The sequence below is a fragment of the Homo sapiens genome, chromosome 4 (assembly GCF_000001405.40).
Source record: "Homo sapiens chromosome 4, GRCh38.p14 Primary Assembly".
Classification (NCBI taxonomy): domain Eukaryota; kingdom Metazoa; phylum Chordata; class Mammalia; order Primates; family Hominidae; genus Homo; species Homo sapiens.
The window spans coordinates 143,625,046-143,650,762 of record NC_000004.12 but is presented as its reverse complement, the minus strand read 5'-3'; the positions used below and the strand labels follow the sequence as shown (position 1 = coordinate 143,650,762).

Here is a 25,717-nt window from a genome sequence, read left to right as displayed (position 1 = left end):
CCTAGCACTTTGAGAGGCCAAGTGAGGAGGATAGCTTAAGGCCAGCAGTTCAAGATCAGCCTGGGCAATATGGAAAGATGTCGTTTCTACAGAAACTTTTAAAAATTGGCTGGGCATGTTGGCATGTGTCTACAGTCCCAGTTACTCAGGAAGCTGAGGTGGGAGGACAGCTTGGACCCAGGAGTTCAAGGCTGCAGTGAGCTATGAGTGTGCCACTGCACTCCAACCTGAGTGACAGAGCAAGGTCTCTATAATAAATAAGTAAGTAAGTAAGTAGCAATTCCATGTTCACCATTCACAGAAGACTCGTCAACTGGGCCTGGTGAGGGTTTAGATACCACAGTCATTGATCATCTTTGGCTGATAGTTCATTGTCATTTATAAGATATGGCTGGTTAGAACCAACTGTGGGGAAGGTCAAGTATAGCATCCGGCTTTTAATATCTCCTGAACAAGAGCTTTGTGAGTGAAAACTGCTTTTACAGTGCCTTCTATTGGTTTTCATCTATTCAGGCAAAACAACATGGCTACAATAAGATAGGCAAATTATCAGATTTTTAGGTCTACACTACTACCTTTGTTTGGAGAGAGAATTTCACACACTATTAGTGTCTTTTCAGTGTTGTTTCAGACTTCTTTTGTTATAGAATCATCAGATGTATGAACTGGTGGAATGCTGACTGTGCGATAGCATTTATGATTTTGTTAACAATTGACATGACAAAAGCAATGAATGGGAACAAAGATAGAAACAGCATAACTAATATTTATAGAATGCTCCCCAGCTAAATTCCTGTTTTGCCAAACCCAAACTGTAAGAGTAGATATCATGGACTAGTTTGTTCAATTTGAACAACCAATTGATTTGTTCTTAAATTTTATGCAAAGGGTCCTCAACTGGTCCTGAAACATTCATTCAGAGGAAACAGAAGGTGCTAACCAGTGTGTAAACAGACCTTAATTTTTCATAAATAATCTGCAATTCTGTTATCTAGTGCCATTGTAGCAAGTACATGGAGCCTCATTTGCCAAGCCTGTAATGCAAATATAGTTTCATTTGCAATGACAGACAAGGTGAGAAAAAAATTTATATACAGCTTTCTAAGGCAAGTAGTCCAAGCCAAGGAAGAAAGTCCCATTGAAAGCCATGAATATCTTCAACTCTTCCAGGAAGGTCTACCTATCATCAAAAGTGTAGTCAATAGGTATTACTAATGCCTGAAGAGAATGGGAAATTTAAACCTTGTGAAGGATCTTATTATTAACACTCCCAGGTTAACATTTTTCTTTCCCTGGGTTGGTATGAGTATATTTAATTTTCACAAAGGAAAAACAAACAAGAGTCTATGCAGTCTGTAATGGGATCAGGAGGAATGCAGAGGTTTCCAGAAAGCTGAAGCACTGATCCAAATATTGTCTGATGCACAAGGTGAGAAGAACATAAGGTGTGGAGCATGTGTGACAAAGGAGAATTTAGTGATGATGAAGAGTTGATGGTGTTTTCAGGATTTCCATACTGGTAAGGCAGAATCTATGACTGCAATAGAATCCATTTAAAACTTTACAATGAAATTTAACAGATATAAACATTTTTGGTAAATGATATTCTCTGTTCTACTATCCTTATTAAAATTAAATTGGCTCTATTTTATACAACTAAGATTTTTAAGCCATGGAATTTCAGTTAAAGAAAAAAGCTGGCCAGCTTTGGTAGTTTATACCTGTGATCCCAGTGCTTTTGGAAGCCAAGACAGGAGGATCACATGAGGCCAGGAGTTTGAGACCAGCCTAGGCAACATAGCAAGACCCTATCTCTATTTTTTTAATGCTTTAATTAGCTGGGTGTGGTGGTGCACACATGTAGTCTCAGATCCTCAGGAGGCTGAGGTGGGAGACAGCTTGAGCCCAGGAGTTTGAGGCTGCATTGAGCTATGATCATGCCATTGCACTCCAGCCTGCGCGAGAGAACAGGACTCTGCATTAGTCCATTCTCACACAGCTATGAAGAACTGCCCAAGACTGGGTAATTTATAAAAGATAGAGGTTTAATTGATTCACAGTTCCACAGGGCTGGAGAGGCCTCAGAAAACAAATCACAGCAGAATGGGAAGCAAACACGTCCTTCTTCACTTAGTGGCAGGAAGGAGAAGTGAGCGTCAAGCAAAGGGGAAATTCCCTTATAAAGCCATCAGATCTCATGAGAAGTCACTCAGTATCATGAGAACAGCATGGCAGGAACTGCCCCCCCATGATTCACTTATCTCCACCTGGTCCTGCCCTTGACACATGGGGATTATTACAATTCAAGGTGTAGGTACACAGAGCCAAACCATTTCACTCCATCCCTGGCCCCTCCCAAATCTCATGTCCTCACATTTCAAAACAAAATCATGCCTTTCCAACAGTTCCCTAAAGTTTTAACTCATTCCAGAATTAACCCAAAAGTCCAAGTCCAAAGTCTCATCTGAGACAAGGCAAATCCCTTCTGCCTAAGAGCCTGTAAAATCAAAAGCAAGTTAGCTACTTCCTAGATACAATGGGAGTACAGGCATTAGGTAAATACACCTGTTCCAAATGAGAGAAACTGGTCAAAACAAAGGCGCTACAGGCCCCATGCAATTCCAGAATCCAGCAGGGCAGTCAAATCTTAAAGCTCTGAAATGATCTCCTTTGACTCTATGTCTCACATCCAGGTCATGCTGATGCACGAGGTGGGCTCCCATGGCCTTGAACAGCTCTGCGCTGTGGCTTTGCAGGATACAGCCCCCTTTCCAGCTGCTTTCATGGGTTGGCATTGAGTGTCTACAGCTTTTCCAGGCACACGGTGTAAGCTGTTAATGGTTCTACCATTCTGGGGACTGGAGGATGGTGGCCTTCTTCTCACCGTTTAATCAGGCAGTGCCCCAGTGGGGACTCTGTATGAGGGCTCCAACCCCACATTTCCCTTCTGCACTGCCCTAAAAGGGGTTCTCCATAGGGCTTCACATCCACAGCAAACTTCTGCCTGGACATCCAGGCACTTCCATACATCCTCTGAAATCTAGGCAGAGGTTCCCAAACACCAATTCTTGACTTCAGTGCACCCACAAGCCCAACACTATATGTAAGCCACCAAGGCTTAGGGCTTGCACCCTCTGAAGCAATGGCCTGCGCTGTATGTTGGCCCCTTTTAGGCATGGCTGGAGCTGAAGCAGCTGGGACACAGGGCACCAAGTCCCAAGACCACACAAAGCAGCAAGGCCCTGGGCCCATCCCACAAAACAATTTTTGCCCCCTAGGCCTCTGGACCTGTGATGGGAGGGGCTGCCACAAAGTTCTCTGATATGACCTGGAGACATTTTTCCCCATTGTCTTGGTGACTAACATTTGGCTCCTCATTACTTATGCAAATTTATGCAGCAGGCTTGAATTTCTCCCCAGAAAACAGATTTTTCTTTTCTATCACATTGTCAGACTGCAAATTTTCCAAACTTTTCTGGTCTGCTTCCTCTTGAATGCTTTGTCACATAGAAATTTCTTCTGCCAGACATCTTAAATCATATCTCTGAAGTTCAAAGTTCCACAGATCTCTAGGGCAGAGGCAAAGTGCCACCAGTCTCTTTGCTAAAGCATAGCAAGAATCACCTTTATTTCAATTTCCGACAAGTTCCTCATCTCCATCTGAGACCACCTCAACCTGGACTTCATTGCCCATATCACTATCAACATTTTAGTCAAAGCCATTCAACAAGTCTCTAGGAAGTTCCAAACTTTCCCACACCTTCCTGTCTTCTTCTGAGCCCTACAAGTCTCTAGGAAGTTCTAAACTTTTCCACATTTTCCTATCTTCTTCTGAGCCCTACAAGTCTCTAGGAAGTTCTAAACTTTTCCACATTTTCCTATCTTCTTCTGAGCCCTACAAACTTCCAACCTCTGCCAGTTGTCCAGTTCCAAAGTCGCTTCCACATTTTTGGGTATCTTTATAGAAGAACCCCACTCTCTGCAGTATCAAATTTACTGCATTAGTCTGTTCTCATGCTTCGATGAAGAACTGCCTGAGACTGGGTAATTTACAAAGGATAGAGGTTTAATTGATTCACAGTTCTGCAGGGCTGGGAGGGCCTCAAGAAATTCACAATTATGGTGGAAGGGGAAGCAAACATGTCCTTCTTCACTTGGTGGCAGGAAGGAGAAGTGAGTGCTGAGAGAAGGAGGAAGCCCCTTGTAAAAACCATCAGATCTTGTGAGAACTCATTCATTATCACAAGACCAGCATGGCTGAAACTGCCCCCATGATTCAATTATCTCCCTCTTGTCCTGCCCTTGACATGTGGGGATTATTACATTTCAGGATGAGATTGGGTGGGGACACAGAACCAAATCATATCAGACTCTGTCTCTAAAAAAAAAGAAAACCAACTAATGCTTAGTACATAAAAATACAGCATGTCCTAATACCTTAAGTAATGTTTGCTAATGCATCAATTTTGCAACTCAAGTTTTCCTCTGAAGGATCTTTGAATGAATATTCAGTGTATTTTATGTAAAACATTCTTAAGCTTTCATGTTGTATGTCTTATTCTTCCTCATATTTTCCAATAATTTTAAATGTTGGGCAACTTTTATAAACAGAGGATTTCTTTTTTTTGTTATTATTATGTATTCTCCAGTGAAGGATCTGAGTTTCAATCTTCATGAAAGTGCTTTAGGCAAATTAGGTAACATTAAAATACTTCATCTCTCTCACTGGGGAAGGGGCAAATCTCCCCCTACAAAGGGTTCTTGTTGCAAAGAATACATATACAAAATGCTCCTTACTGAATTAAAACAAGCAAACAAAACATGAAGACAGGGTCCAAACATGTAAATAATAATTAAAAGTAATTAAGATATGAGATTTTGTAAGATGCCTGTATCTAGCAAAGTTTCACAGATGAAGAAAAAAAGGCAAGCGGTGAATATCATAGTAGCTATACTAGTTGGGATTCTCCAGAGAATCAGAAAAAGAACCAATATATTGATAGATAAGTAGATAGATTGATAAATAGATAAAACATAGATATTTACTGGCTGACACAGTTGTGGGGGCTAGCAGATACAAAATCTGTAGGAAAGGCTGGAAATTCAGTTAAGAGTTGATGTTACAGTCTTGAGTCTGAAATCTGCAGGACAAGCCAGCAGGCAGGAAAGTAAGGCAGGGTTTCTATGTTTCAGTCATGAGGTAGGATTGCTTACTGGGGAAACCTTAGTCTTTGCTCATAAGGCTCTTAACTGATTGAATGAGGCCCACCAACATTATGGAGGGTAATCTGCTTTACTTAAAGTCAACGAATTATAAATGTTAATCGCATACACAAATACTGTCACAGCAACATCTAGACTGAGCACCATAGCCTAGCTGCATTGACACATGAAATTAACTATCCCAGTGACTATTCCATCAAAAAGTTGTCACCATTCTTGAAGCAAGTAGAGGTACCCTGAATGAAAATTCAATCAGAGTAAATTGGTGCCTCTTTTTCTCAGGTTTAAGTAGAGAGTTTGCAAGAGCTACGAAACAGTTCCACAGACCATGAATGTCTTCGCCCCACACTAGCAAAACCCCTAGGCTTTCAATGATTATCTTACCATCCTCACGGAGCACACAGTTCCTCTTCTGTTGAGGTGGGCCACAGTCCTGCTGGACTCTCGTGTACAAGCTGCATGAGAAAAGCAGATTCATGTGTCTTCACTTAAGAAATAGTTATCTTTTCACTAGTGATGCTTATCCCCAGTTCGCTTTATCACCCATTACTAATACATAGAAAGAAGGCCAGAATCAGAAATTATGGTAATAATAATTTTGGAAAGGACAGATTTGAGGGGAAATGGTGCATTTTAATCCTCAATCTATAACTTCTTCCTGGGCTTTCCCTGGGAAACCAAAAGGCCACCTACCCTAATATAACTATGGAACCTCTATGGCTGGGCAGAGGACCTTGGCTTGCCAGAGCAGTCATATTTTTGTTGTATAGCTTGTACTATAAAGTTTATATGTTCTTTGTGAGAAAATGTTTACTTTCCTTATAAACTCCAAGAAATGCTTTTTTAAAAATTATATGCTTTGTAGATTGAACTTGCCTTTTGTTATTTTTCAAAAAGGTAAAATTATAGAAGCTATTATTATAATTATTACTATACTCAAAGTTATTGATCTAAAGACTGGAAACAACCTCAGAGATCATGCCCATTTTTGTGTCTGTGTTCAATTAAAGATGTGGAAGTGAAGCATTACCTTGAGATTTTATCACAAATTTCCAGGGATCTACAAGGTTTGACTCCAGAGACATGGTAAAGGAAACAAATACATTGAGAAATCTCTTCGTGGATGCTTATTATTAGATACTCATTCTTTATATTTTAGATTTTTTAAGGATAGTGTATACAAAACTAAATGACCTTACGGAAAATGGAAAGAGCTCACGTATGCATAAAGACAAAAAAGTAGAAATAGGAAGATGATGCAGATACACGGAGAAGGGCAAGATAAAAGAAACAGAAAGCGGCCCTGGGAAAAGAAACACGTGTGCAAATGCACACGCGCACACACACACACACACACACACATATGCAGAGCAGGAGGGGAATAAGATTAACAGAAAGTTACAGAGACCAAGAGCCTGGATTGTTCTCTTGTCAATTTCTGTCCGTGTTTGGATGCTCCTGATCATCGTATAACAGTATCCTATGTTAAATTATGCAGCAGCATAATTCATAAAACAGTATATACAATCCAAAGTCCCCAAAACTATTTTCATTTTAATAAAATATATTTTAAATAATTTGTAATTGATATGCTGTACTTGTACATATTTATAGGGTACAATTTGATAATTCCATAATGTATGTGTTAAATACTGATCGAATCAAGGTAATTACCGTATCCATCACCTCATGCATTTCTCATTTCTTTGTGGTGAGAACATTCAAAAGCCTCTCTTCTAGTTATTTTGTAGCATGCAATACCTTACCATTTACCAGAGTCACCCTACTGTGCAACAGAACACCAGAACTTATTTCTCCCACCTTATTGTAACTTTCTGCCTGTTGACCAGCCTCTCCTCATCCTCCCCTCCCAACTGCCCTCCCCAGTCTCTGATAACCACTGTTCTGCTCTCTGTTTCTATGACACCAACTTTTAAAAAAAAATCCCACAAGTGAGACTGTGCAGTATTTGCATTTCTGTGTCTGGTTTATTTCACTTAACATGAAGTCTCCCAGGTTCATTCATGTTGTTGTAAACAACATGATTTAAAAAACAAGATTTTTCCTCTTTTCTATGGTTGTGTTTATATTTATATACTTTATATATTATATAATAAAACATTGTGTTTCTATACCACATTTTCTTTATCCATTCACCTGTTTTGGGACACTTACACTGATCCAATATCTTGGCTATTGTAAATAGTGTTGCAATAAACACTGGAGTGCAGATACCTCTTCAGCATATTGATTTTATTTCCTTTTGATATATACCCAGCAGTGGGATTACTGGATCCTTTGGTAGTTCTATTTTTAATTTTCTGAGGAACTTCCAAAATACTGTTTCCCATCATTGCTGTACTACTTTATATTCCTACCAGCAGTAAGTGTTCCTTTTTCTCTGTATCCTCACCAACACTTGTTGACTTTTGTCTTTTTGATAATAGCCATCCTAACTGGAGTGAGGTGGTATCCCATTGTGATTTTGATTTGCATTTCCTTGATAATTAGTGATATTAAACACTTTTTCATATACCCGTTGGCCATTTGTATATCTTCTTTTGAGAAATGTTTATTAAGGCCTTCTGCCCATTGTTTTCTGGATTATTTTGTTTGTTTGTGTTTTTTTGCTGTTAGGTTCCTTATATATTCATATATTAACTCCTTGTCAGATGTGTAGTTTGCAAACACTTCCTACCATTGTGTAGATTGTTTCCTTTGCTGTGCAAAAGCATGTGAGTTTGATGTCATTCCATTTGTCTATTTTTGCTTTCATTGCCTGTGCTTTTAAGGTCTTATTTAAAAAACCCTTTCCCAGCCCAATGTTATGAAGTGTATCCCCTATGTTTTCTCCCAGTAGTTGCATAGTTGTGAGTTTTACACTTAATTCTTTAATCCATTTTGAGTTGATTTTTGTACATGATGAGAAATAGAGGTCTAGCCTCATTCTTCTGCATTTGGCTATCCAATTTTCCCAGCACCATTTATGGAAGAGACTCTTTCCCTCGATGTGTGTTCTTGTTACCTTTGCTAAAAATAAGTTGGCTGCAGGTGCACGAATTTATTTCTTGGATCTCTATTCTGTTTAATTGGTCTGTGTGTCTGTTCTTATGCCAGTACTATGCTGTTTTTGTTACTATTTCTTTGTAGTGTATTTTGAGGTCAGGTAGTGTGGTGCCTCCAAATTTGTTATTTAAGCTCAGGATTATTTGGCTACTCGCTATATAAATTCTATTATTGTTATCTCTTCTGTGAAGAATGTCATTGGTACTTTGACAGGGATTGTATTGTGTTAAATCTGTAGATTGCTTTGGGTAGTATGGCCATTTTAACAATACTAATACTTAGAATCCAGAAACACAGGATATCTTTCCATTTATTTGTGTCTTCTTCAATTTCTTCAACAATGTTTTATAGTTTTCAGTGTAGAGGTCTTTCACCTTTTGGGGTAAGCTTCTTTCTAGGTATTATAAATGGTTTTTGAACTGAATTTCTGTTTAACATGACTGCAGGCAGTATCCAAGTTTAGTCTGCCACTGAACATGATTCATCTATGATTATTCTGCCATCTTTAAAATTTTTCCTCTCTATACAGCATCATTCAAAATGATGCCTAACAGACCCAGTTCTATTTTCCTTAAGGGTATATAAGATTTATGAATTTGACAGTTTATTGCTTTAGTGGAACCCTTTGGGATCATTTATAGCTTATGCTATATAAAGGGCATTTTTATTTCTAGAAAAAGGAATATTTTACCCAAGAGTGTGTAAGTTAAGTGGAAGCTTTTTATTTAACTAACAATTATTGATTTGTGGTCTGGCAGGAAGGAATTTCTGGCAAATGGAATGCTTCCCCTGAAAAGAAAAGCTCAGCTTGTATTCTTAGCCTGATAAGTGTTGGCCAAGAACTTGGCTAATGACATCTGTTACATCTCTGGTTTGGCTATTTTTGCAATGTGTGGACTAACAATGGATATTATGATTACAGAGCTGTGCTGTGGTTTACTTAACTTCCAACCTTTCCTCGCTAATTATTGTTTTATTAAACCTCAAAAAGAAGTCTCAACCAGAGGTCATCCATCCCCCATTCACTTAAGGATTTGTTAGATAGATCCAAGGTTCAGCCAAACTCACAATTGTTAGTGAATACACTTGGTTCTAAAACCTGGGCTGTGTTCAGTAGAACTTTATTTTTATGCCTCTACAAGGCTTCTTTTTTATCTCCTTTTTTTCATGTAGACCTTCAGGTGGCTTCCCTTTTCCTCATATCTATGAATCAAATTGTTGTTGGAGTCATCTTATTTCTCCTTTGAGTACACTGTGTACATAAGCTGTGTAGGGATATGACATTTATCTTTGTATTCTTAGAAAAATAAGTGTTTCTGGCTTTTACACCTCCTATTTTCACTGACATTAGCACAGGCACCCTTGGGCTGTCTGCTATGTGTATAAGGAAGAAAAGGGGCTTAGTTTGATTGGGACCAGGTGTTTCTAAGATGTACAGTGCATTATGGCTTTCAGGAAATATTTGTTTTTATTTATTATACTATCTAATTTTAATGCCAATCAAGTACAACTCTATATGACCAATGTAACATGATCAATTTATAGAACATGAGAATGCTAGATTTTGAATAAAAAGTTAAATAATATATACTACGGACATGTAAGTCATTTTTATCATTTTTTTAAAGATTGCTCTAGAATAAGACCCTCATAACTTAAAGATTGGTTCACAGCCTGGCTGTACATACAGTATTTTATGGAAGCTCTAAGCTAAGAATCTAAAAGCCTGACTATAGGTACTGGTTCTGTTGCTAACTAGAAAAAAAAATGGCTTTATATTATATTACTAAAATTCTTTCTTTTGAGATGAAGTTTTACTCTTGTTGCCCAGGCTGGAGTGCAATGGCACGATCTCAGCTCACCACAACCTCCACCTCCTGGGTTCAAGTGATTCTCCTGCCTCAACCTCCTGAGTAGCTGGGATTACAGGCATGTGTCACCACGCCCAGCTAATTTTGTATTTTTAGTAGAGACAGGGTTTCTCCATGTTGGTCAGGCTAGTTACCAGAAATTTTTAACCCATTATCTACATAGTTATGTAACAAGATAACTAAAGTAATACATTTACAAACTATACATGGGTTGAATTATTAGCAGTGCTCATTCTATTCTTCTTTGAGTCTACATTTAGGTCATTTTTTTCTCCAGAAAGCATTGTCATTCAACAGGTATTGATTAAGCCCCTGTTAATTGCCAGGAACTGTGCTTGTGTGCTAGGGACTCCAAAGTGAAAAGACACTTGGAGTAATTTGGAGCAATCAGCTCCAAATCTGGAAAGAGACTGACATGTAGACAATCAACTGCAGTACCCTGAGAGGTGCAAAAAGGAAGTATGTGCAAGGGTAGCAGAGACAAACCATTACCCATGGAAGCTTCATTAAGAAGCAACATTCAAACAGGGCCTTCAAGGATGAATAAGAGTTTTCAGAGATGTGAAACAGCATGAGAACTTGGTATCGCTGGCCTGTGTGCTCCAAAGTCAGTAAGAGAGGTAGGAGACGATGGAGAGGTAGAAAGGATCCAGACTGTAGAGAGCTTTGCCTATTTTTACATTTTTTTTTTACTAGCACTGTGACCTCAAGAAAGGCACAGTTACTAAACTGCAGGTACTCCATTTGTCAAATATCAAGTATGACTGTTCCCACTCTTGAAAGTTGTTGTAAGGATTGGATTTGCACATGAGATAATGGATATGAAAAGACTTGGTGATAATATGCAGTCAATGTTAAGATTACACCTCTAGATTTGCCAGTGCACTTCTGTTCCCAGACAGTTTGTATGCCTTCTAGGGAATTCACCCTCCTCACACAGCTTAGACCTCCAGGGAGCTTAAAGCTCACTTAATATATCAAGTTACAACAACTTTTGCTGAGTGATATTATTATTTGTCCAAAATGAGACATAATAAGTTAATCTGTTTTCTGGATTGCTGTAATGGTGCCACATGCTAAGGGGGGCAGAAAGAATCACAGAACGTTAAACCTGAAAAGGAACTCAGAAAGGTCCTAATTCCACTCCCTCATCTGAGGGATGGGGAAACGATGCCCTGCGAAGTAAGTGATTCACCCAGGGCCACACCTTTAGTTAGCGGTGTTGCCAAGACTCCAGCCCAGATCTCCTCACTCAGTCCAGTTCTGTTCCCACGACATGCTGACACTGCCCGTATGTCAAGTTGAACTATTTGAAATTTCTGAACATTCACCCATTTTTGACCTGAAGAAAATAACAATTTCCTCTGGATCAATCTAACAGAAGGACTCACCCTGCTGATTCCCTCCCAAATACTATCTCCTTCTATGATTTCTGCGGGTGAAGAACTGTTCTCTTCTTACTGAAAACTCTGCAAACTTAGGTTTAGGAAAATTCTGTTTTCTAAAACTTCCACATCTATCTTCATATTTGATCCTTATAACAACACAGAAGGATCCTTACATAGCACAAAAAGGAAGAATCACCAGAAGAAAAAATTTAAGATACTACCAAATTAATATTTTGGAAGCAAATGTAAATTATTTCACACAGCAATCACAAGATCGACTATGAAATAAGTGATACTAAGGGCAGATGATGTACTTGGGTGTGGCACTCACCTGGGCAGTCATGAGCTCTCTGTGATGCTGATGGCCACATTTCCTTTTGCTGCCTCAGAGCCCTGTTTAGTCTACTACGCAGAGTCACAATACTCTGTATCTGTGTCTTCTCAATAATGATAAATCAAGACTATGTTCTGGACAGTATGTTTAATTGGTAGATTGGTAAGGACACAGCAAACTCTGGTGTCCCTGGCCCTAGAGCATAGGGATCAAACATAGTCTTTACCGCCAATGGGGAAGGACAAGAAAATAGAGTGAGATTCAAAAGGAGAAGAGGACCCTCTAGTTCAGTACATGAAAGTTCACAGTCACTTGCTCTGGACTCAAGATCGTATCCGAAAATGAGCATGATTCTTTTTATCTCTAAATAAGTTGCTATATTAACTATATCATATTACATTATATTATATTGTTTTCTCTGGAATAAAGAGTTTGTTTCAACCTCCTCCTTAAATCTTGTATGCTCCTGAGAAGGTACAATGTTTTCTGCCTTCCAGTTAAGCCATGTGGAGCCTCAACTCCCAAAAAGAGATGGCCCATGTGGGCACGCAGTGTATTTCCACTTTGCTACTAATTGAAAGCTTCTGCTAATATAATCGTTTTTAAAAACTCTCTAATGTCTTGCTTTGAGACTTCTTTGGGTAATTTTATTTTGTGTCAAAAGCAGAATGTGGTGTCCCTGTTGAGGCATGCAAAAGAATCTAAGAAAAGCTTGTGGTCTTTATTATTTCACACTGTTTCCGCTGTCCTTATATTGAAGAACACTAATTTAAGAAGGAGAAAAAGGGCACGAAAACTTGTATTGTTATACATAGCATGACATATTGGGTTTTTATTCTCCAAAACGGAGAGCCAAATATATCATCAAGACAGTTTGGGTACATCTCCAAAAAGAATACACCAAACACCTCTCAGTGAACAGAATTAGAGCTAGCAGTCTTGACACCTGCCACCTTCTTCTCTCCCCACCCACCAACCATGTGAGCACAAAGACCTCTCCCTCCACCACCTGCCCCACATGTCCAAAGATTGCAGAGGTGGATTTAAGAGCATTGTCTGTGAGTGGCATCTCTGCGGCTTAGGAGAATACAACTAGGAAAAGGACCACATAAATCTCATATCTTTGTTGTTCTTTTGGTTTTTTCCCTCTTTTCTGAAAAACCTATGGGTTATTTTGTACGGTTGCACAAAATAGCCTATTGTTCCTCAAGAAGAGAATGGATATGAGCCTGTAATGTTGCAGTCTCCAAAAAGAGAGCCACCTGTCCCTCCAAGCTCCAGGATGTGAGTGGTGGCACCCTGAAGCACTAAGAGGGCACAATCAGGGAGACCCGGTGAACAGTTGAATAAATAGAAGTGAATTAAGCAAAAGCCTGAGAAATGGAACTGGACAATCAAGTGGAATAATACCCTTATTTGGGAAGGGAATATGGCAAATTTCAACCAATAAGACACATTTTTGAAATTGCTACCAACAGCTCCAGGAACATGGGAGATAGCCAGAGGAAGAAAATGGAGACCTAGCTGACATGCAGTTTGGCTTTTTCTGTTACCTAATCTGCCAATTCTTCTATTCCAAGTTACTTTCTTTTCCTTAAATTTATAGTTCTATTGGAAAAAAAGACCATTATATTTATCATCTGTAGACATGTAACTGGAGCTGTGCATGTGAAGTCACAAGTCAGAGTAACACATTTCTCACTGTGAAGCATTTTCCAAATGACAATGATACTAACTGACACTATGTGACAATTGCTAAGTAAAGGTATTGTTTCCAAATGCATGATGAATGGGTGCTTATGGAATTCAAATACACTTTAAAACTACATTATGGTGTGAGCTGTAGAAGCTAAATGCTTATGACAATGAAGCTATTTGAAAATGTTATGAAGTATTAGAAAACATAAGCATATATAATATTAATTTTTCTTTAAGTTATTAAGCACTCAAGATAGAATATCCTAGTCAACTAAAATTTTTTCCAAGTTTAAGTCATAAACATTTAACATTTGACAGTGGCTGCCACTTTATCATTTGGTAAATGACTTTACCTATTTGAGAGTCAGCATTTATTAAATGCATTTTCAAAATTTATTTAGTGGTATATAATCTTTTTATTTTGTTTTTATTTTTGTGTTTATTTTTCAAATTATTGCACTTTTAAAAGAGGAGATTATATTAGAAATTAGAATTAGTAATTAAGTTATATCAAAATTAAATCTTCCTAAATATAGTATTTAGGTAAAATACTTGATGTCTTTTTCCCATATTTTTTAACCTAATGGGAAATAATTGTGAAAACATAAATGCCATTATGCTCTTCACATTTTGATAAGTTAAAAATTCTGCAGTTGGATGTTTTTCTCTATTATTACTTTAATAGTCACTTTCTAAGCCATTCCTATTCCTCAGATTTCTATTTTTCTTCACTTTACTGTGCACTCAAATCATTTTCTTGTACTGGCTGGTCCTATCAGAGCCTTTCTACTGATTCCTGTCTCCTTCAGCTTGACCATCTCTCCATGTCTTTTTTTTTTTTTTTTTTTTGGACAGGCTGCACAGTGCCCAGCCCAATATTTACCTCGTAATGGGCATCTGGTGCATGTTGGTCCCTCTTTACTCTCATTTCCCAGTATGAGGTTATATGTTTTCCTTTCTTTTTTTTTCTTTAGAACATTAGGACATCAATTTTATTCTATGTAGTTTAAAAAAAAAAACAAAAACAATGTTTTCTACTGTTTTATGATGTGAAGAAAGGAATTTAATAATAAAAGCTTAAGTTATAAAGATGATATTTGTCCTGCACTCCCCTACTTCTGAGGTCTCTCACACACAATGTTTCTTTGCACCTCTTTACCCCCACTTTATAGATGAGGGAGCAGATGAGAAGTTGCCTAAGGCCAGAGAGCTACTGTGTGAGTGAACAGTGTCAGGTCTTGCCAACTGAACCTGACAACCTGATGCTTCCACTTCAAAATACTGTCTGAAAAAAGTGTGATGGTAAATCAAACCCCACTAAATAGCTCTTCTTCATGACTTGTAAACTCTGATTTTCTCACATGGAAAACAGTTTTATATTATGATTTTCCTTGGATTAATTTAGGCAATGCTAAGACTACCTTTTGAATTCAATAGAGAGTGTTTGATTATCTACGCCAAATTCAAATCTAAAATGTTTTATCATTCTTCTAAAACACAGTCATGTGAGATATATGAAGATTTGTATCAGATTCAGTAAAATTATTTCATTTCACCTACACCAGTAGTTCTTAATCAGTGGTGATTTCCCCCCAGGGGACATTTGGCAATGTCCGAAGATAGTTTTGATTGTCACAATTGAGGATGAGGAGGAGCAGGGAGGGAATGCTGTTGGTATCTAGGAGGTAAAGGCCAGGGAGGTTGCTGAGCATTCTGCAATGCACAGGGCTACCATCACAAAGGAATTATCTAGCCCATAATGTCAGTAGTACTGAGATGGAAAATCATGCACTAGAGTATAACTACATACGTAGCTACAACAGCTTAATATAGCAAATAACAAAGTGTCATGCTTTGATGTGAAAATTATACTTATGCTTCAAGCTATTCTTTTTTACTTCTAGGTGATCATTTTATACCAGACTTCCACATTGTGATAAAACTAATTCAAATATTTCTTATTCTCTATTTTGTAACTGATTTCTTTTTCTTCACTGGTTTCCAAATGAAACTGTCCCCAAAGTTTAGTTCTTGGTTCTCTTTTTCTACAGTGTCTCCCTCATTGAAGTACATAGTGTCAGCTACACAAAGTCCCTGACTTACATAAATTGGGTTTTCATACAGTCCAGAATCTGCACTCTTATTTATTACACAGTAAACCACCTCTCACACACAGAATACAATTGTTAATGCATCATCTGGCTGACTGCCTGCTGCTAGGTCTGAGGGAGGAAGTTGAGTTCTCCCAACTGAAGCCTGTGGGGGCATAGCTAAGGTCTAGGCAATGATCTCTCTGGCCTCCATTTGGAAGGACCACAGTGACATCCCCTCATCCCACACCTCCTCACAATTTCCTGACTTCAGAATCCCACACCCCCTCACAATTCCCTGACTTCAGAAGTCAGGGAGCCTGTAACTGACCCTCACACAACGAGCCTTCGTCTTAGCAGTTTCCCTGGCCCAGCCCAGCTTCTCCCTTTCTAATATTTCATTTCCTTCCCCTCACACCCTTTCTCCAGCAAGTGATTATGCACAGCCAGAAGGGGACTCTCAGTCGGAGCCACACATGAGGAGGCAGGATGTGTCATGAAGACGAAGCCCTTTCCTCCATCTTGCTTCTGGCTTGGAGCTTCAAAGTCCAGGGGTGGCCAGCTGTCCATCAATACCCCAGTAGCAGGTCTGAGAGAGGGTGAAAAAGGGTGATGGCTGAATCAGCTAACTCAGAGCCCCTGGGGTATCTTATGTCAGATAAGCCGCTGGGGTCCCACTAGCTATAAATCTTCTTATCCAACTCCACAATTGCCTAGATCATTTGAGAGTAATGCCTAACAAAATACAAAGATTGTACAATATATATTTAGCTCTCTATTGTTAAACTTTCAGAAACCCAACTTTAAACCTCTCTCTCAGAAACTCCCTGCATAATAATTACTCCTGAATTTACGTGTCTTGCCTTTGGCTGTCCCCAAACCTTTGTCCCATATATCCAAATATCTGATGAGTTTTTGTACTTGGGCTTCTTATCATCACATCAAAGCCAAATTAAAACCAAACTCCCAAGCTACCTTCCTTCCTGGCTTCTCTAAATCAGCTATTGCTATATCTATACTGCTGTACTACTATACCTACACAACTCCTCCAGCTGCCCTGTTTGGGCTCTGTGAGTCATTTTTTTTACAGTCCCCATAACTCTCAGAGCTAGTCATCTCCTACAGCCTGATGGTTCTTCCTTCATTTTTCTTTAACCCATCTTTTCCCTTTCCACTGTCACTGTTTTAATGCTTAAGCTCTTATTATTTCATGAAGCCTGTCAATATCCTCTCTGAAGAGCCCATACCTGACATGTCTTTTTATCTGCGACGCTTAGGATTGTGCCTGATGTACGGTTTGACTTCAAAGTAATTATATATTGTGTAAATGAGCAAATAATCAGTTCTCTGTATGTAATTGATTTATGCATTCCAAAACACCAATTTGTACTTATTTTCTCCTACATGTCCATTAAAATGTGTGCATTGCATCAATATTAATATAGCTTTAATGTACCCAGTGTCTTGAGTGCCTACTGCATGCCAGGCGTTATGCTAATCATTTTCACCTTCACTATTCAATGTCTTCTTATTCCTTTACAAACACAACAAGACAAAAACAAGTTCATTGCTGTGGGATTTTGTTGTTTTCATTGTTCTATCCTCAACACTTAGAAGAGGGAACAGCATATACCAGGTGATCAATAAATATTTATGCAATAATTGAATGGATGGCTTAGTTAACTGTAATATTTCATAAATCATCCTTCAGAAACCTAGAATATAGTTAGATCTACAAGAGAATTTTCCTAGTTGCAAACCTACCATTGCTATTTAAGTCCTATTAAATATCATTGCTATTTAAATAAACAAATATATTATGGCATAGTGATAAGCTTTAGTAGTATCTCTAGGATGCCAGAGAGACAGAATGACAGGACATGCAGCTAGAAAGAATGCCAACAGCACTCTGTGGATGACCGTTGCCACTAGGTACAGTTGTCACTGGACACTAGATCTCTGCTACCAATGCCCATGAAAACCAAGTGCCTCCACTGCAACCCTCACCAAAATATGGACTCTATGCAGTTGACCTGCAGCCTCCTCACATTGTACACTTTTAAATCAAAGTCTCAAGCTACATTGGCAAAGCCTAAGTGACAAGCTTATGCCCTAGCTGTAAGAGAGGCTGCAAAATGATATTTTCTAATTCCTTCCTGTAGGTCAAGCTTGTCCAACCCATGGCCTGTGGGCTACATGCAGCCCAGGATGGCTTTGAATGTGGTTCAACACAAATTCGTAAACTTTCTTAAAACATTATGAGGTTTTTGGATTTTTTTTTTAGCTCATCAACTATTGTTATGTAGTGTATTTTATGTATGACCTAAGATAATTCTTCTTCCTCCAATGTGGCCCAGGGAAGCCAAAAGATTGGACATTCCTGCTATAGGTGAGGGACTCATCAAATCCCAAATCCTCCAAATATGGACAGGGAGTTCAAAAGCTGCAGAATAGTTACAAAACAAAATCATATTAACTAAATGTCCCTAATGAATACTACTGGCCTGAAAAAGCCAGACCACCTTCTTAAGTACTGATTGATAGGTACTGATTGATAGGAATAAAAAGGGCACCCGAAGGGAATGGAGACCAAGTAGCCTTTGACCATGACAGAATATTGATTACTTTTAAAATATGGACATATTTATTTTTGTGCTTGTTTTCCCTCTGCCTGAAATATTCTTTCCCCCAATCTCTTATCAAATATCACCCCTTTAGGAAAGCCTTTTCTAACCACTCTATATAAACTATTACCTTCTGATTCTCCCAGTTATGCTTTATCCAACTATCCTGATTTTTGCATAGCACTTTCACCATCAACTATATTATACATTATTTGCTTATTGGCCCACTGGAAAGTAAGCTACACAAGAACAAGGATTTTTTTGATTTCACTGTTCTATCCTCAACACTTAGAAGAGTCAATAGCATATAACAGGTATTCAATAAATATTGGTGGAATAACTGAATGGATGGCTTAATTAATTAATTGTAACTTTTCATCAATCATCCTTCAAAAACCTAGACTATAACTTAGATCTACAAGAGAATTCTGGAGTGCATTAACACATTTTTTATTATAATTGTCAAGCCAAAGGAACTGAAAGGGTGCCTGAAATGTTTTTAGGTTATCAGAATTACTCTTTTTGTGGTAAATGCACATAAGTATTTTGACAATCAGAAATCTTCCTGAATTCATTCTGAAGTAGTCTGGTCATGCCTTAGAAACAGTACGTTTTACTAAAGAATACCATTACAAATTTTTAAGAATGTACCATGCCCTTGTAAGTTTCCTTCAGTCTGCTTCCCCTAAGTCTACCTTCTTCTCCCTCCATATTAAAATGGCCCCTCCTTCTCTGCAAAGAGAATTCTACCCATCTCTCCCAGCCCAGTCATCCCAGGAAGTCTTCCTTTCTACTTGTTTTGCTCCATTCATTTCTATCCACAATCATATTGCCCTTGTGTTGTAATTTAACAGTTTCATATACACGTCTTATTTTCTAGTTGGATTAGAGAATCCTGAAGGTCAATGCACACACTAGGGAAATAAAAATGTATAGATATTATCTCTACTATTTAGAATTAGCCAGGCATTGTAATGTTTGCCTGTAATCTCAGTTACTCAGGAGGCTGAGGCAGGAGAATCACTTGAACCTGGGAGGTGGAGGTTACAGTGAGCTGAGACGGTGCTACCGCACTCCAGCCTAGGTGACAAAGCAAGACTCTGTATAAACAAATAAATAAATAAATAAATAAATAAATACAGCATTATAATAACACAACTTTTCTGGATGTTTATTCCTGTAGTAAACTGGAAATTGCAATGGTAGCTCCTTCAAGATTTAAGCATTAGGAACTAAGCCAGCCCCAGAATCAAATAATATTGTCTTTGGCACAAATTCACATTTAATTGGAATAAAAGAACCTTTTTAGCAGATAACAAGAAGTTGGTATTTGGGATCAATTTGTAGGATATGACCAATACACCAGGGAGCCATTTATCTCTGATTTGTGTTGCTTCATAGAGAAGGGAAAGAGAAAATACTTTAATGAAAACTCTCTTCTGCTCTATCATCACCATTATTTTGACTTCTGATGGACAGTCTTTTTTCTGGCCAATACATGTACTTACTGCATTTTAGCCACTGGTATCTTTAGGCCAAAACCCCATTGAGTTGTTACTTAGCTATTTACTTCCCTATTTCTAAGGTTAATTTTATTAAGGAATATTAATAAATAGGGCTTTAAAACATCTGTAGATGGACTTCACCTTCTTGGATTCATCTAGAACTAGAAACAATTCCTACCAGCCTCTTTCTCCTAACATACTTGGTTTAAAGTAGGTTCCCTTTAAATGTTTTGAAACACAGAATATTTCTTATTTATCCCAGACCATGTTTGTCTTTCTCATTTCTCTAGAAAGTGAATTGATATGGTGCCTAACAGCAAGCATGTGGTCACAGAAAGCATTGATTAGCCGGTGATGTCAGGTTACAGTGACTAAGGAGCTCATGCTTGAAGAGGATGATGCTTTCATATTTTCTTATCTTGCTCAAGGCATACTAAAATTTCAACAAAATAGTAACAATAGTGTTGTCTGGTATGGGGGCAGGCAAAATATAGGCAGATTGCAAAGGAATATGAAATGTGACAAGAAAGTGCTTTAAAAAGAAAAATGTTAAAATAAAAGAGGAGTTCAAAGTTCTAACACAGGCTGTTCCTATGAAACTAGCCACTTTTTAAAAGATGTATTAACCAGTCAGTAGTGAAAGCAAAGTCAAAAGCAGCAATATAGCCTAGTGTAAATTAATCTTATGCTGTTTTAAAACCATGATGATAAGAACCCACATTTATTGAGCACCTAATTTGTGCCGGTCATTTGGTAGCATTATTTTCTTTGATTCTCACAACAATCCTATTGAGCACATAATGCTATTATCACATTTACAGATGAAGAAACTGAAGATCCATAATTTGTTCATGATCAAATGGCTCATAAGTGGCAGGCCCAGAACCTGGGTCCATGTGACTCAGGAGTCTATGCTCTTCATCACAAGACTACAAATTAGCTGTTTGGAATCTGGAGGTGTATCTGTCTCTAATTGTTAAACCCTTCTCACTGTGCATGTTTTTATTCAGAGGGTCTGATCTGCAATAGATTTTTCCTACTTTGCTTTTGAAGCGTTTGTGTTGCATTGATCTCTAACCCACAGGAATGGCAGCTCAGAGTGAAAGACAGAGCACTGGACTAGCAGACTGCAAAACTGGCCTCACCACTCACCTGTGGGGACCTGGTCAAATTGCCTCATCCTCCTGAAACTGTCCAGTTATAAATTGAGATTAATATTTGCCATACTCTGTAATGGGTTTGTAGAATAAAACATGTGACAGTATATAAAAGAACTATGAAAAAGACACAAAAAAAGTAAATATAAACTATTGTCATGACATGGGATTTCAAAATCTAAAGGACTACATACATGAATAATTAAAGTGTTTTCAAACTGTAAAAAATATGGTTTTTAAAAAATAGCAGTAGGATTTTGAGCGCTTTTGTCTTGTATTTTTCTGTATTTATCAGAATATCCACAATAGTATCAATAATGTTATTTTTTAAAGAGAGAGAAAACTATAGAGAGTAAACATGAAAATCAACATATGCATTTATCTTGCAATTACACATCAGTGAGTTCCTTTAAGCCCAAGTAGGATTAAATCTCAGTGCTTGTTTTCTACTGATCCTTCTTTGCAACTATAGATCAGAACCTGCAGTGCGAAGGAGGGCTGAGGCCAGCTTCCCTCTTTCCATGCTCATGGTTCCCTTTACTTACTAGCAAGGTATTGCTCTTCCAAGGTTGACTCTAGAAAGAGAGGAGATAAGGTAGGCAGAGCACAGTCTGGTATAGAAAGTATCATTGCCATCTGCTGTTGGAGGTCCCTGGGTGGCAGCTCTTTAAAGGGGACCCCTTCCTTACTTGGTGTTTTCATGGGTTCCTTGAAGATTCCTATCTTTAGAGCCTCCTTGTCTCTTACCGCCTGTGCAACCCACGGGAATCTGGTGGTTGGCTCCCAGCTTCCTTTCTGTGGAAACCCTGTTGCCTCCTTAACTGGCCCTACTGGACAGATGACCCACCTCTAGTCCATATACCTGCTTTCTTTGTCCTGCTCTTCAAAGCTACTCGACTGCTTCCCAATGCAGCGCTCTCCACTCACTCCTTTACCCTGCCAATCTTTTTTGGAAATGAGTAAGTCACATGGACTCCAACTATAGAAGGAGATGTCAAGCTCTCCAGGAGGTTCACTGAAGCCCTGTAGGCTGGAGGTCAAGGCTGTAGCCCCATCTCATACCCATACCCTTTTTGGTGATAATAGGGATTTCCACCATGGCATCAGCTTTTTCTAAAGTACTCTCTTCACAAATTCTTCTTTCTAGTCCACACACTGCCCCATTTTGATATGCTTGATCTCATTAAGGGGTCCAGTAACTGTGGAACTGGTTAGTAAAGCTGTATTTGGTAAAGTTCATACACAGTCACTTTGGTATCTGGTATCTATCATATTGGCCCATCAGTTGAAACTCAGTCATAAAGACTTCTACTTCAACATCTTTTCACGGGTGATTATTTGTAGCAACCACTCCCCAGATTAGGGAGACCTTCTCTTGCTACCAATACACAAACATTACACAGCCACAATAAGGGGCTGGGTTGATCTTTCAGAAAGAGGCCAGTGACTCGGTGTGGACAAGAGGAAATAAGATAGAGCCCTTATATCCCTTGTCTATTGTCCTCTTCATGGGTAGTTTTTAAACATTAGAGTGTATAAGTTCAATACATCATACTATGTCCTGAAAGTGATAAAATAGGTAAATATAATGTTGGTATTGCCTTCAAGGAACTTCCAGACTAATATGAGATCAAATGGATGCTCAAATAATATAAAGGAGTAAGTAAGGGCAGAGAAAAAATGGAGGAGGCAGAGGGAGTGAAAGTGAAGACAACAGGCAGGGAGGAAACGATAGAGGTGTTGAGTATGACCTGAATTTAAAACTACCAAGCTCTGGCTCTTTGGAACCCTGATGCACAAGACCCTTTGGGAATAGGAGGCACCTGGCTCCCTCCAGATTAAGCAGGAGGAATAGGGCTTAAGATGCCACTCATGACATCCTCTAGAAAAGCAAACAACATTTCCTCTCTCTACCAAAAAAATAAAATAAAATAAAACGAGTATGTTTTGAAACCCTTGGTTTCAGAAGTAAAATGCACACATTGATCATTGAATATTGCCATCAAATACTCCAGCTGACTTTTCCTTTGCCCCTATCAATTGCAGGAGGAAATAAACTAACAAATCAGCCTTTCCATCTAAACTGGGCTTGGATTTGTTTGGAGAAAGAGTACTACATTGTGGATGAAGATTCCACATTCTTAGAAGTGACCCTTACACGCAGAGGATACCTTGGAGAAACATCATTTATCAGTAAGTAACTTTGGATTGGTTGTTGGTAAAAGGTCATGGAAACATGAAATCTGGGACTAAAAATAATTACAAGAAAGTATACTGAAAGAGAATAAAGAACTGGTTTGGAGAAATCTCTAAAAAAGTGTCTGTGAAAATGTGCCGTGGTTTTTGCTCCATGTGAGTTATGGGGCTTAGATATGTATCAATTTTTATCATCTTTCCCCTGTTTTCCTCTTTCTAGCAAGTTACATCTTTCTCTCTTTTATAACTCACCAGTCTCCAGGAAAATTAAGACACTTCATAGCCATCCCACAATCTTCAAGTCACTCAATTTCCTTAAAAGTTGTTTTAAGCATATATTTTTAGCTATTTCTTTTGAAAAATTATTTATGAGTACATGATCCATTACTGTGTTTAGTTCTATATATTTCTTTTGATTATGTATAATTGTTTTAACCTTGCTAGTAGGTTATAAATTCCTTGAGGACATGTACGGTGTCAAATTTCTTTATGTTCTACAAGGACCTAGTACAGAAATATGTTTTCTTGGAGTAAACACATACATAATGCCGGTATACTATATCTGATTATCATCATTAACAATTAACAGTAGTTGTTCTAATAAGGCATTGTATTTTCATAACATCTTTAGCTGCCAGAACTTTCAGAAATCATTTTGCCTTTATTTACATAATCTATTAAGAAGACAGATAGGGTTATATTGTCTTCATTTTACAAATAAGCATTGAGTTTCCTCGACATGCAGGACCCCACTCAGAGCCGAGGCAGTATATCAAAACTGTTGGAGAGAAGCCAGGGAAGAAATGAGCTGGAGAGAAAACAAGCAATCAAGGAAAGGGAAGCTTTCCCTAGTCTCTGCTCCAGGCCCAGAGCTCCTAAAATAGGACTGTTCTCCTAGGAGAAGGGGTCAGCCAAAGAGCACCCTGACTTCTGGGTGGCCCTCAGCCTCGGCCTACATTCCAGGTTACTACATCAACACATGGTGGAACTCGCTGCCAGGAATGTCAGCTGAAATATGCCTCCCTCCTCTTGTCAGGCCCTACTTCCACAATTCTTTATCTCAAGGCTTTCTTGTGAGTTTGGGTTAAAATGTCAAGAAGGATATTTGTATCCTGACCCAAGAAAAAAAAGTTCATCTGCTCAGAACCATTTGAATGTTTGCCCTAACTGAACCCTTTGGAAATCCTTCTGGCCACCCTGTCCAAACCAGCACCCCTGCCATACTCTATCTACATGCACTGCTGTATGGTTCTTCACAGCACTTACCATAATTGGCATGGATCATGTGTCTATTTGTCTTCCCAAGTAGATTTCAGCTTTATAAGGTCAGGAACTACATCTTGGGTTATGTCCAACCTCAAGAACAGCATGGGGCATATGGTAGTCACCAATATTTGTTGTTAAGTAAACTACAGCCAGCCCTTCTGTTCCGTAAGTACTCTTTAAAATCACAATACTACTCAACATCACAGACAGGAACCTCTAAACCATCTCAATCAGACACTCCAGAAAGTCCTTCTGATACCCCAACTCCACCCCAGGCTAATAGTCGAACCACAGGATCCAGAAGAAAAAAGAAACAAAATGGTGGAGTTCGACTTCCTGCTCTGTCACTTACTCTTTTTTGTGACTTTCAAAAGAGTTCAGTTTCCTTATGTGTAAGTAAATTATCCATCTCACGATGTGTTTGAGGGGAATTCGTAATAATGATTATAAATCAATCTAGCACAGTTCTTGGCATACCGCCAATGCTCAAGAAGTGATAAATACCATTCTGTGGCACTCATCAAACACAATTAAAATCACCTGTTTATCTGTTTGCCTCTCCCAAAATTGAAAACCTCTTGAGGGTAGTGGTGGCTGTGCCTAATTCTGTGTGACATCCTCAGCACCTCACACAGAGACAATGTTCATCAAACATTAAGTAAATCACCATGTGCCTGCTTCATTCCTATAGCAGCTCCACTTAGCTCTACCTAAGCTTTGGCTGAGGACACCATTCACTCTTTTTTATGTTCCCCACTTCCAACATGTGGCCAAAGGAGGCTCTTCCTAAATATTGGACATTCAATCTCAGTCACCAAACTAATATTAATGCAGGCTTTCTTCAGCAGATTTGCAAAGGCAACACTAGCTATCCTACCTTTGAAATTATTTTCAGGCTCTATAGCTTCGGGTATCTTTTACAAGTTTCAGATTATTTGAGTATGAGGCCAAGGAATTGCATGGGGGGGCTATTAATCTTATTTTATATCAAGTTTTCACCATAGCTGGTGTCAGGTTACCATATTTGATTTCACACATCCACACAACTGCAGAATGTAACTAACCCTTATAATGGGACTTAAGTGGTGAGGCATGGGTATTGTTTTCTTGGTATGTTAAAATCAAGACCAAACAATATTAGAATGCTGCTTGAACACTTTGGGTTGAGAGGAAGGTCTATTTAGTCTTGATGGGGTAGCACTTTTCACCATTGTATCTCACATTGGGTATTTTAACACTATTTTGTTGTTGTTGATGTTGTTGTTGTTGTTTCGTATCTTCAGTAAGTTACTAATTACT

General features: G+C 38.5%; 1 protein-coding gene across 1 annotated transcript in view; it reads left to right on the top strand.

Annotated features, from left to right (window-relative positions):
* The window catches only part of FREM3 (FRAS1 related extracellular matrix 3), a 123,374-nt gene that overhangs the window by 49,913 nt on the left and 47,744 nt on the right, over nucleotides 1-25,717 (top strand). The window contains exon 3 of the mRNA NM_001168235.2: nucleotides 23,003-23,149. Coding sequence (NP_001161707.1) covers nucleotides 23,003-23,149 — 147 coding nt within the window. The remainder of the gene's footprint in view (nucleotides 1-23,002; nucleotides 23,150-25,717) is intronic.